The sequence below is a fragment of the Homo sapiens genome, chromosome 5 (genome assembly GCF_000001405.40).
Source record: "Homo sapiens chromosome 5, GRCh38.p14 Primary Assembly".
Taxonomy (NCBI): Eukaryota; Metazoa; Chordata; class Mammalia; order Primates; family Hominidae; genus Homo; species Homo sapiens.
Genome location: NC_000005.10, coordinates 30,588,040 through 30,601,948, shown reverse-complemented (window position 1 = coordinate 30,601,948; position 13,909 = coordinate 30,588,040). Strand labels below are relative to the sequence as shown.

At 37.3% G+C, this 13,909-nt stretch overlaps 1 annotated feature.

The window, feature by feature from the left end:
* Window positions 4,983-5,484: an enhancer, noted in NCBI's record as "NANOG hESC enhancer chr5:30596572-30597073 (GRCh37/hg19 assembly coordinates)". NCBI's record gives its function as "activates a minimal SCP1, AML or CMV promoter by ChIP-STARR-seq in primed H9 embryonic stem cells {active_cell/tissue: H9 hESC(primed)}" and the evidence as "EXISTENCE:reporter gene assay evidence [ECO:0000049][PMID:30033119]".

Here is a 13,909-nt window from a genome sequence, read left to right as displayed (position 1 = left end):
TGTGATTACTCAAATCAGTTAACTCCAATGGCCAGATATTTTTTTCGTCTGTATGTACCCATGTTACATGTACCTCATGCCCTAAATTCCACTAGAAGCTAAAAAAATATAGAAATATAGCCTAAGGGCCTTATACTTTAACTGCAAGGAGAAGATCTTCAGACATGGCAAAAAGAATCAAATAAAATAGTATGTTTGCATTCAACTTGTTTGATTACAGACTAAGAATTATTTAAACACCACAAAGAGCATAAAAATCATTGTTACCTGTTGTAGTTGGTGCCTTACCCACATGTCATCACTAAAGGTCCTTGGGACAATTGAGCTGAACGAAGTGTTTCTAGACAGTTTAAAGTGTAGATATTTGAAATGAAGTGTAAGATAGCTTTATAAATGTGGTCTATGATTAAATGTTGTTAGTCTATGAGACCAGAAATCCTCGCTAAGATTTTTGTGTTAGAGCCACAGTTATTTCTTTTGAGTTGAAAGTATACAGGGGTAAACTCATCAATGAGCTAGTCTGTCTTTCATTCGGTATAATTACCTAGAAAGCAGTGACATTTATGGGGTTTTATGGCCTCTTCCATTATTACGTGATGTGCTTTCATCATTTACTTCCTGTAACCAACAATCTATCTAGATTCGATTCCCTGGGTATAAAATTTTTTATTTTTTCCATTAAACAGGAAAGGTCACTTGACATCAAAATTTGGGACAATGCTCAAATATGATTCCAGGCAAACTACTGATGTTCTGAAAGAAGCTTGGAAGGCCTGTAACTCCCTCATAAATGGTCAAAGTTAGATCTGGGATGAAATTGATTTGTTCATATTTACATAGTGTCATTTAAGGTTGTAAATTTACAGACTTTGTAAACATTACCTGTCATGAGGTGAAGAACAAATTAGAACATAACAACTGTTCACTGGCACATAGGGATTTGATAAAATGAAGTGCCATATTTAATTGGAAATATGAGGAAATGTTAGGTAGTAAGAGTGCAATTATATGAACTGGAATAATGCCAGGCCTCTTACTCTGTCCTGGGGGCATTATGGACTCCCAAGAAGTGACCAGATTGTCTGTGCTAAGGCTTGAATGTGAAGGGCATCACAGGAGCAAATGATCACTGGGGACAGTCACACAGCCAGAGTGGGGATTTTATTTCTTACAGTGAAATAGCGCTTGTCTAGATGACAGTACATGTGTAGGGTGAAGTGACCTAGAGAAAAGTTTCTTACATAGCACATTTTCTATCTCTTTCATTCTTTGTTAAAGATCTCAGAACGGAATATGAAATTTGGCTTAAATTTTACAAAGTGAATTATTGTTCAATAAAGGTAATATTATGTAGAATAGAATTCTGAAGAACTAACTATTTCGAGTGAACCACACATTTTTCGAACTAGCTCTGTATACTTTAAAGGCTAATTTCCAGGTGAGAGGATTGATACGTTCATTTTGTACTTTTTACCTGAAGAAAATACACATGAAAAAGTCAAGGAAAGGGGTAAGGCCACAAAGACATACCTTCATATAGACCATGATCCCAAGCCAGTTTTATTGCTGTTCATATTTTCATAGCACATTTCTATCTTACAATTTGTTTTTACTTGTTAATATTTTCTTTTTCAGTACTTTAATGTAGCAACTTAACAAGGATTCATATACACTGCATAAAAAATAATTGTTCTGATGCAGTTATATATTTTATTTCAATTTTCTTGTATACAGATGGAACAGAAGAAAGTGGTTAGCTGATTGGTAAGTGGCACTAGTATGTTAAGAATGCTATGGGTGGGAGTGGTGACTCATGCCTGTATCCCCAGCCCTTTGGGAGACCAAGGCAGGAAGATCCCTTGAGGTTAGTAGTTTGAGGCCAGGAGTTTGAGACCAGCCTGGCCTTTAGTAGAGTCTCGTCTCTGCTAAAAATAATATATATATACCATTCAGGACATAGACATGGGCAAGGACTTCATTACTAAAACACCAAAAGCAATGCCAACAAAAGCCAAAATAGACAAATGGGATCTAATTAATCTAAAGAGCTTCTGCACAACGAAAGAAACTACCATCAGAGTGAACAAGCAATCTATAGAACGGGAGAAAATTTTTTCAATCTACCCATCTGACAAAGGGCTAATATCCACAATCTACAAAGAACTTAAACAAATTTACAAGAAAAAATCAAACAACCTCATCAAAAAGTGGGCAAAGGATATGAACAGACACTTCTCAAGACATTTATGCAGCCAACAGACACATGAAAAAATGCTCATCATCACTGGTCATCAGAGAAATGCAAGTCAAAACCACAATGAGATACTATCTCACACTGGTTAGAATGGTGATCATTAAAAAGTCAGGAAACAACAGGTGCTGGAGAGGATGTGGAGAAATAGGAGTGCTTTTACACTGTTGGTGGGAGTGTAAACTAGTTCAACCGTTGTGGAAGATAGTGTGGCGATTTCTCAAGGATCTAGAACTAGAAATACCATTTGACCCAGCCGTCCCATTACTGGGTATATACCCAAAGGATTATAAATCATGCTCCTATGAAGACACATGCACATATATGTTTATTGTGGCACTGTTCACAATAGCAAAGACTTGGAACCAACCCAAATGTCCATCAATGATAGACTGGATTAAGAAAATGTGGCACATATACACCATGGAATACTATGCAGCCATAAAAAGGATGAGTTCATGTCCTTTGTAGGGACATGGATGAAGCTGGAAACCATCATTCTGAGCAAACTATTGCAAGGACAGAAAACGAAACACCTCATGTTCTCACTCATAGGTGGGAATTGAACAATGAGGACACTTGGACACAGGGCAGGGAACATCACACACTGGAACCTGTCGTGGGGTGGGGGGAGGGAGGAGGGATGGCATTAAGAGAAATACCTAATGTAAATGACCAGTTAATGGGTGCAGCACACCAACATGGCACATGTATACATATGTAACAAACCCGCACGTTGTGCACATGTACCCTAGAACTTCAATAATAATAATAATAATAATAATAATAACTTGGTGTGGTGGTACACACCTATAGTTCCAGCTGGATTGAGCCTATATTCAAGTATTAGAGTGGGACCAGCACAGCCCATCTCCTTTGACTTTAAGGACAAATGCTGAGGCATAATTAACACTCCAAACTTGTGCTCTACTATTGCATTGAAGTTAGGTCTCTTTCTGCAGTCTTGCTTCTGCTTTTCTTTTTCCTCTTCACTGTCCTTACTTCACCCATTTCTTTCCTCAGTTTTTCCTGGCTTCCTGATATGGTTTTGCTCTGTCCCTACCCAAATCTCATCTTGAATTTCTACATGTTGTGGGAGGAACCTGGTGGGAGGTAATTGAATCATGGGGGCAGGTCTTTCCTTTGCCATTCTTGTGATAGTGAATAAGTCTCACCAGATCTGATGGTTTTATAAGGGGGAATTTCCCTGCCACAAACACTCTCTTTGCCTGCTGCCATCCATGTAAAAAGTGACTTGCTCCTCCTTGCCTTCCACCATGATTGTGAGGCTTCCCCAGCCATGTGGAACTGTAAGTCCATTAAACCTCTTTCTTTTATAAATAGCCCTGTCTCTGGTATGTCTTTATCAACAGTGTGAAAACAAACTAATACACCTCACATCCTTAATAAATCAATTGCAAGCACATCCAGTCCTCAAGGTTGACTTCCTGGGAACCACACCCAAGCTATGGGTAGAGTCAAATGTGTTATCCTCCAAGAAACTGAGTAGTGTTTTGATCCCTGAGGTATGTTAAGAACCTTATCCTAAAGAAGGATAAGAGCCTAAGAAGTGTCATTTGGGAAGACCAAAGGAAAACTGCCTTTTAAATTAAAAACATTTCAGACCCCTTACACTTTTCTTTCTGACATTAGCTTTTTATGTAAATTTTTATATACTACCATTCCATGACCACCAGTTGTTTCCTGGAAGGGGGTCCCCATCCAGACCCCAAGAGAGGGTTTTTGAATATCATGCAAGAAATAATTAAGGGCAAGTCCACAAAGTAAAAACAAGTTTATTAAGAAAGTAAGAAAATAATGGCTACTCCATAGGCAGAGTAGTGGTATGGGATGCTTGACTGAGTATACTTACAGTTATTTCATGATGATATGCTGAACAAGGGGTGGATTATTCATGAGCTTTCCAGGGGGAAAGGGGCAGAGATTTCCCAGAACTGCAGATCCTCCCCTTTTTAGACTATATAGGGTAGCTTCTGAACATTGCCATGGCACTTGTAAACTGTCATGGCATTGGTGGGAGTGCCTTTTAGCATGCTGATGCATTATAATTAGTGTATAGTGAGCAGTGAGGACGACCAGAGGTTACTTTCAGCACCGTCTTGGTTTTGGTGGGTTTGGGCCGGCTTCTTTACTGCATCCTGTTTTATTAGCAGGGCCTTTGTGACCTGTATCTTATGCAGACATCCTATCTCATCCTGTCACTAAGAATGCCTAACCTCCTGGGAAAGCAGTCCAGTAGGTCTCAGTCTTATTTTACCCAGCCCCTATTCAAGATGGAGTTGCTCTGGTTTGAAGGCCTCTGAGAGTTGGAGACCCATTACCTTTTGTTTTTGTCTCAAGTTCTGAATAGCCATTGAATTTCAATGAGCTATTGTTAATAAGGTAAATATATTGCAAAGTCGAATCAAGTTACTTTATGTCTTACTTTTTATTTATCAAAACATCACAAGCTTCAGATACAAAAAAATTATTAAAATTTTTCATATGCTCTTAAACACCTACTACTTCATTTTCCTGAAGACATTAATCTTTCTATTTATCATATTAGCTTTTTCATATGTTCAGACCTTGGCATCTTATCACAAATTCATAAGAACACAATAAAAACAATGCTTGCTGGTTTGTGTGCTGTAACAAATTGTTGCCGCCTCCCCAAAGTGGAACACATTTCAACAGTTCCACTTAAAATCATGTTTTCAATAATATCATTCGTTTGCTATTATCTTCCTTTTATTCTCAGTCTTCACAGTCACATATGGAGATATTATTCCCACTGTTCATTAAGGTTCCTGCTGTGCTTGAAAGCTACTTCCTGACAGCTCACAGTCACTCCTGTGAGAAGAATCTAGGGCTCCCAAACTCTACAATATGCTCACTTAAGAAGAAAAATGCTATGTGTTTCATTTCTACCATGTTCCAACATTCCTAACGCTGATTAAATATAGAAAGAAGACAAATGAACAAGTTTCATGATAACTTTTGATGCTAGTGCAGACCTCCCACTGGGTCACATTTTCTGCCTGACAGGTGGTCCATTCTGCTGAAATACCACTGAGCTGGTAAACTTAAGCAAGAGCATATGACCCACCTCTCAAACCTGGGGCTGAAAGCAGCAGGGGTTGGATACATACCTAATAATCTCACATTGAAAAATCTCCACTGCAATGTATTTATTAACCTGTGTGTCTGACCCTAGAAATTTCTATGGATGGTGAAGGCGGAGATAACAGATGAGTCTTCTGTTCCCCACATTTTGTAGGAACATTTCTCACCTGTGTCTGAAATACTTCCAATGGGTTCTGATTATAAATTTAAGAAAACCACATTCACATCAAGAAATGCTATTTGTAATCTTTCCCTGGATTGGAACCATTTTTAGTTTTCATTTCCTTTGAGATTGGATAGCACATACATGCTAAGGCTTCTCATTAGAGGAGAAACATACAATTACTGGCAAATTTTCAAAGTATTAGGACAAGTGATAATCTCTTCTTTGTAATAATTATATATAACAGTAATTATTGGTCTGGGACTTGTGTGATTAAGTAGATTTCATACCTAGATTCTTCTCTAAGTCAATACACCTGCGTGTTTTCAGTTACTAAATATTTCTACCTCCTTAATTCTTATCGACCCCATTTCTTTTAAATTGTACCTCCAAGTGTTTGAAGTTCTCCAGAGCTTATCTATTTTATCCTCTTTAAAATTCACAATACGAGTCACGTCAAGGTAATTAACAGTGATAACCTATTTTGCATAAAGTTATTATAAGTGAACAAGAGCACAAAACGTTTCCAGAAATTCCCCCAAAATGTGGAGTTTCTAAATTAGAGCACATATGGCCCTCTTGAAGCTTTGAGTAATATCTGTTGTGAGTAAACCATCAGGGTTTAGATAAGTTCTTGAAAAAGATGCAATTTAAATATTTTTGAATGAAAAAATATTTTGAATACATTATAACAAAGAGACTTTAGAGATAGACTTAATTATCAAGTTTTAATTTCATAGATTATAATTCAGTACATTTCATCCAAGGATCATCTATAATTTCAATTGTGCTAACACTTTCTAAAGTTGTGAAGGATTTGATGATGCTGAGTCTAAAAGATATCCCCCAATTTTCCAAAAAGCCCTCAGCTTTTGGTTACATGACAATTGCTTTAGGTTTCTGCTTCGTAAGTTTGTTTCTTAATGTTTTTATTTCTTATTGGTGAGGACCTCCAGGGATATATTAATTTGGTTTGTAAATCCTAGTTGACTGACTTCACAAGTATTAGAAAGGAAAAAGTGTTTTCTCTTTAAGCACATTTTAAGCATAAAGCCAATATTTAGAAATGCTCACAAAAGAATGTTAAACAGGGTAACTGGAGGGACTACCAGACAATGACCAGCCATATGTTTATACTGTAATGTAAGTTTTCTGCATGGGGAGCCATAATAGCTTTGAATAGCAGCACATTCTTCTTAGATTGGGAAGCTAAACTTTCCCTGTAATAACTAGAATACTAATTAATTCTTGTTGACAATATAAGCCAAACTAAAGGAAAACTTGTTTTTACTTTAGTTATAGACAAATACAAACAGACAAAGGTTTTTTTGGTCCTCTGTGTTTAGAACATTGCTAGGAATTTTTCAGGCAACAGCAGGGGATATTTCCAAGTGCAATCAGAAGAGAATGATTAGAAAATCAAACCTGAAATTCTCTTATCTCAGTGCTTAATGAGGCGAGGGAAGTTGGTATTTTGTAATGAAACCCTCTAGGTTTTTTTTTTCTCTTCTCTCTATAGGGGCAGAGGAAAAGCTTCCCCTTTGCTTCAGAAGGTCCAATGAAAAATCAACTCACAAAAGCAGATTAATAGGAAAAAAAGCATACACATGTATTTGATGATAGTTTTTCATGACACAGGAGCCTTCAGAATGAAGAACCCAATACCCCAATAAGGTGCAGAAACTTACATGCTATCTTCAATTTAGAGAAAGACTGGGAACTTGGAACATGACCTAAAACCGGTTAGGGTGATAAATCACATGGCAAGACAGGTTATGGGAGAGAGAGAAGAGGAGACTTGACTAGTAAAAGTAATCTTGTTATGTAGATAAAACCTCATAGGTCACAGCCCTCAGAAATAATATATGGTAAGTGTTTTTGTCTGTTTTTTTTCCCAAATCTTTAAATCTGTAAGATTCTCAGTTCATCTTTCCTAGATCCAGACAAGGGAAGGCCTTGCTGTATGATAGGAGATTCTCTACAGATGCAAAAGACAGTTTTACAGGGCCCCTTCTATTTGCTGGCCCTCTGGCAGCCATCACAAAATATGTCAAAGAAATACATTTCGGGGTAAAATATTTTGATTTCCTTCAGTCCGCTCTTTGAAACTTAAAAAAGTTTTACATACTAAAAGCCACACTGATAGATTTGAAGAGCTATAGGTTAGAGGTTGTCTGATACAAATAGACAAAGGAGTTGAAAGACAAATTGGGATAAGCAGAAAAGAGCAAATTTAAATATATCATGCCATATCTTCTAGTCAGTCTCTTGGTCCTGAGAATAGATCAGTTCAGTTAAACGACAGTGTCCCATTCCAGGAGGTGGCACTGCAAATAAATGGCCTAAGTCTCTATATATGGTACAGGCAAACAGATCTTTCATAAAAGACATTTCTATGGAAACAAAAGAAAACCAAAGGTTAATGTCTGCAGTAGTTGATAGACTAGCTCTTCCAGAATCTTCTAAGCATCTTCAGATTGCAATGGCAATCTGACAGATTTTTCTTTTTATTTGTGAAAAGAAAATAAATCTCATGACCCTCAAATCACTAACCCAAAGGGACAAGTCAAGCTGGACACTGCATGAGGCAAACCTGGCTCACATTTTATTCCTAAATAAGATATCTACAAAGATAAAAGAGCTACATATTTCCCCCTAGAAGATTCCTTGTGGGTCCCAAGATCTTTACCCTGAAAGAGTTCTGTTGAATTTTACCCTGACAATGTAAACTGATAGCTTATCTTCACAGGTGTGGGACAAAGAAGAGAACTCTAAGTCATCCCTCTGCTCACCTGAGACAAATACATAACTGATTGCTTCCTCTGATGTAAAAATGCAGATTCACTAAGGTAGAAGTCATAAGTGAAGATTCCTCTACTCCTCTCTGACATGTAAATTGTATATTCTTTGAAAGGCTGATCGAAGACTCAGAAGAAGGCAACTGTTTATCTCTTATCTATCCACACATTTTAAACATTTCTTCCTCTTTCCTAAATATCTGCTCTTTCCTGGTTAAATATTGAAGTCCTCAAAATCATCTTGGGAGAAAGGCATAGACCTGTCTCCTGGGCTTGCATCCTTAACCTTGGCAAAATAAACTTCCTAAATTGTTTGAGGCCTGATATTATTTGGCCGTGTCCCCACCCAAATCTCACCTTGAATTGTAATAATCCCTACGTGTCAAGGGCAGGACCAGGTGGAGGTAACTGAGTCATGGGGCAGTTTCCCCTATACTGTTCTCATGGTAGTGAATAAGCCTCATGAGATCTGATGGTTTTATAAACGGGAGTTCCCCTACACAAGCTTTCTTGACTGCCACCATGTAAGATGTGTCTTTCTTCCTCTTGGCCTTCTGCCATGATTGTGAGGCCTCCCCAGCCATGTGGAACTGTGAATCCATTAAACCTCCTCCCATTATAAATCACCCTGTCTCGGGTATGTATTTATTACTGGCAGAGAACAGACTAATGTAGTAAATTGGTACTGGCTAATGGGGCATTGCTGTAAAGATACTAAAAAATGTGGAGGAGACTTTGCAACTGGGTAACAGGCAGAAACTGGAACAGTTTGGAGGGCTCAGAAAACAGGAAAATGTGGAAAAGTTTGAAAATTCCTAGAGACTTGTTGAATGGCTCTGACCAAAATGCGGATAGTGATATGGACAATAAAGTCCAGGCTGAGGTGGTCTCAGATGGAGATGAGGAACTTGGTGGGAACTGGAGTAAAGGTCACTCTTGCTATGCAAAGAGAAGGGTGACATTGTGCCCTTCCCTTTGACATACTTAAAACTTAATGTAATAGTAGAAAATGTCCTTCTAAAAAATGTTTTAATTTTCAAAAAGAAAGTTTTAATAATCCATATTTAAGGTATTTGAGTCACCCAGGTAAAATTAAAATGATAAATTAAAATTACTAAATGTCTGCTTTAAAATTTAAGGATGCATCCTTACCCACGTGTAACTGATCCTGCCAATTTGAATATATTTGACATTACAGCAAGTCAGTTGTTGGTGATACGGTGTAATGAAAAATTTGTTGTCTTTTTTTAAAAAAGCTATTTTAGCTTGAAATGTTGCCATTTGAGGGAGGGAAGAAGAAGGTACACAGGATTTGTTGCTAGCATGTACCGCTATTTGGACCTGAATCCGGCGCATTTTTGTTTAATGCTGTTCCAGTTGGAGGCATGAATGAGCTGGATGCATCATCTGAGGATGGCAGCTCCACAGGCATCCACCAGTTTGCTAAAAGGCTTTGTATGTGTTTGTTTTTGCAATTGTATTTCTCAGTTTACAAATGCTTATCCAGCACCAGCATTCTACAACTGGCAAGTAAAACTGAATGCACATAGATAATATGTGAGTGTTCTAGTCATACTGATATACTTTATTGGGAAATTAAAAACTGTTTGTGGATGAAAGTAGAATGGGGGAATCTGGTGATTTTTAAAGATTAATCAAATATGCTTGAATAAAAACCAGCTGCTGCCTAATAGAGAATCACATGAAACAACTTTGAGAGATGGAGACTTACTATGTTATGTGCATGCATTTGTTATGGGAAAAGATGATGTCCACGTGTTAACAATGTCAACATGCAAATGAGTGAAAACATAGCTTTTCTCTCTTGATCTTTATCAGGGTTACACAGTCATGTTGAATTTTATTACTTGATCTACTTTTGGCTCATATGTACTATGGTTTAGACATGGCCATAAGTCTAGGCAAATATTAAACATTGATGCCGACAGGCATCAGCAGTAATTCTATGCATAGAAAAGTTAAGAAGCTTGTTGTCCATGGCGGAGATTTCCACAGGTTGGAAGAAAATTTCAGTGACAGAGCAAACTGATGCACCAGTTATGTAAGCAGAAATATCTTCATGAAAATGTTGGTAGTATTGTCTTTTCTAGACACATACTCATAGGTCTCCTATTTCTTGTGTGTGCTGTATATTGTGACATGATATTTTTTCTAAAATATATTAGCTGGCTCTTGTTATAGCCCTCCACATTCTGTCTAATTTTTTCCCTCCCAACTTTATCCTTCAACATCAGTTCTATCATCTTTTTCTCCAAGAAATAACAAAAACAAACAAACAAAAATCCCTGATCGGATTCATAGTCTCTTGAATTACCTGTATCTTACTCAGGCCATTTTCCTCACTGATAAATATTTCTTTCTTCTCTACCTCTCTACACTTATTTAAGCCTTATGTAGACCATATCGCATTGCCTATAAGGAATTTTCTTTGAAAATTCTGGGCAAGATTGACTACTCTGTTCTTTGAATCCTCTCCTCCCCCCACCCTTTATTGTAGTGTGTGTGTGTGTGTGTGTGTGTGTGTGTGTGTGTCTGTGTGTAGTGTGTTAATGGCATCTCAGCATATTAAAGTTCTATTACTCAGAATAAATCACATATATTTAGTGGCTTAAAACAACACAAATGTATTGGTTTACAATGTTCTGAGTTAGAAGTTTAGGTGCAGAGTGGCTCAGCTGGTTCTCTGCTTAGAGTCTCTCAAGGCCAATATCAAGGTGTCACCAGGGCTGGATTCCTTTGCTGGAGGTTCTGGAAATGAATTTGCTCCCAAATTCATGCAAGTTGTTCACAGAATTCAGATCCACGTGGTGGTCTTAAGGGTGAGGTCCTTGTTTTCTTGTTGATTGTCAGCTGACATCCTGTTCAGCTTTCTAGAGGCTCCTTGTACCTTGGCGAGTGGCCTTGTTCCACCATCTTCAAAGCCATACAGCAGGTAGTGTCTTTTTTATGCTTTGAATCTCTCTGACTTCCCCTTCTACAGAATCTCTTCTGCCTCCAGCTGTAGAATTTTCTCTGCTTTAAAAAAAGGTTCATGGAATTAGATTGGATTTACCTGGATAATCCAGGATAATCTCTCCATTTTAAGAACCACAACCTTAACTACATCTACAAAATCCTCTATAATTGGCACCCAGAGTAGCATTTGATTGAATAACAAGGGGGTAAAACTCTTGGAGGACATATTTAGGATGCAGCCCACAGCAGTCATCCTACAGGGAACCTCGTCTTTATTCCTTGGCTTTTGCCAGCGTGGTATCTTTTTGAGTTGGCTTTCTTTATTTCTTGGATTTAGTGTTCTCGGTAAAAATGAAATTGTACAAAGAAACTCCTTAATGTGAATTTGAATGACACATGTTAGCATGTTAGAGAAAGGCGATTCCCTCTGAAACCCCATGCACATCAGCTAGTAAGGTAGTAATTTTCCAGAAGCAGGTTCCAGCATGTATTTATAGCTTCCCGAGTGTTAAGAAACAGTGAGGGTTGCATTGGTTTCTTGCTCTGACACGGTAATTCTTTGGATTATGGCTTCAACTGCCTAACCTTTAGTTTCTTGTGGTCCAAGATACTAGGGTAGTGGTAGTGGCTGTAGACCTCGATGAAATTGCTCCAGCAATGGTCTCAGAGGAAGTAGCTCCATCATGAGCCATTTCTTTACTGTTTTGGTTTTCTAAGAGACTTGGGCCAGAACATGCTTCTTTATCCTTTACAGGATTTTGTAAGAGCCTATTCCACTATATTCCTCTTTATGTTTAAAATACCTAGAATAACAAGTTTGTTTCCTCCACTGAACTCTGCGTGCCACATTATTTGAAACCAGAAGTGAGTGCAACAGAGCAGACTTAAAAATATGTGGTTTTGGCCTAGTGGTCACGTAACAACTATAGAGAATCTGATGCTACAGGTTGAGACCTTGTGAGACCTTAGCCAAACATTTGTTAAAATTGTCATCTACAGCTACATGGAAGGAAAATGCTCTAAAGTGCCTTCGAGGGAAATGGCTACAGTGCTTGTAGCTTTGAGATGAGAGCAATAATGTTGATGTATCTTACCTGTTCCTGGTTGTTTTTAACAAAGAACAGATGAATCTTGGTAAGAATTTTCCCGTGTGTAAACAGAAAAAGACATAGAAAGATCCAGAAATTTGAGGCTCCACAAGACTAAAAAGTCTGGCTGCTTCTGTATCCCAAGAATCAAGATTTAAGGAAAAGGAACGAAGACAGTAAATACGATGGTGTTTCCATAATTGTTAAGTCCAGAAAAGAAGTTTATGCATGGTTATCGAACCAACTGCAAGCAAATAGACCAAATGCCTACTACATTTTGAGATCATTATGTTATCAAAGAAACCACATTTCTGAGCTGAAAAATCTGTTTTTCCAGTCCCAAAAGCAATCTTTAAGTTTCTAGTCATGAGCAAGCAGAAATTGTATAGCAAAATTGAAGTCCCCAGGGAGAATCTACTTTCAAACATGTAATTCATACGCATCCCCAAGGGATTTAGGAGAAGAAATAGGCTCCAAGATATGAAAGTAAGGAGAGTCATGTACTGCATAACAATATTCTGGCCAATGACAGGCCTCCATATATAATAGTGGTTCCATAAGATTATAATGGATTTGCTCTATTATAACGGAGCTACCTATATATGTATATCATTTTGTATTTTTTATATTGTAATTTTACTGTACCTTTTCTATGGTTATCTATGTTTAGATAGATAGTTACCATTGTGTTACAGTTGCCTACAGTATTCACTACAGTAACATGTTGTTCAGTTTTGTAGCCTAGGAGCAGTACGCTATGCCAAATAGCTTAGGTGTATATCAGGCTATATCCTAAGGTTTGTGTGAATATATTCTATGATGTTTACACAACAAGGAAATCACCTAACTATGCATTTCTCAGAATGTATTCTCTTTGCTAAGCAACACATGATTGTAATGGAAAAGAAATTTTCCCAATGCTGAAGCAAGGTCTATATGAGGAACCCATTTCACTTTCAGGAAAGTTGTGCAATTCTAGTTCACCAGAATCTTCTTTCACTAGATACCAATTATCTTGAGGGTTTTTAACCCCCTCTTTTTTGAATGTTTCATTAGTTTTATCTATTTCCTGTTTTTCTACATCTCTTTCATGTAAAGAATTTATTCTGAAAATACACAGATAAACTGAAATATTTTAAAACTATCTTAGCATAAGAAAATTCCATGTTTTGTAAAGAACAATGAACATGATCAGCATTATGCCTGCTATGTCTTTACTTCAGAAATATTGTGATTTCATACTCAGTTGAATAATTTATGTAGGAGTTAAATTATCTATTTTCTAATGTAATCAATTTAGTGTTGTGAATACATTTTAAAAACTGCTGTGAATTATTCTATAATTTTCATATTTTCAAATTTCTGTGGTTTGTGAAAGTCATGCAAAATGTTACCTCTTTATCCCCTAAATAATTGAGAAATCATGATAAAGAGATCTTGCCTTTAGGTGAATCTAACATCATGTGAATGACACAGAATTTGTATACATTTGCATATTAAGGAATAC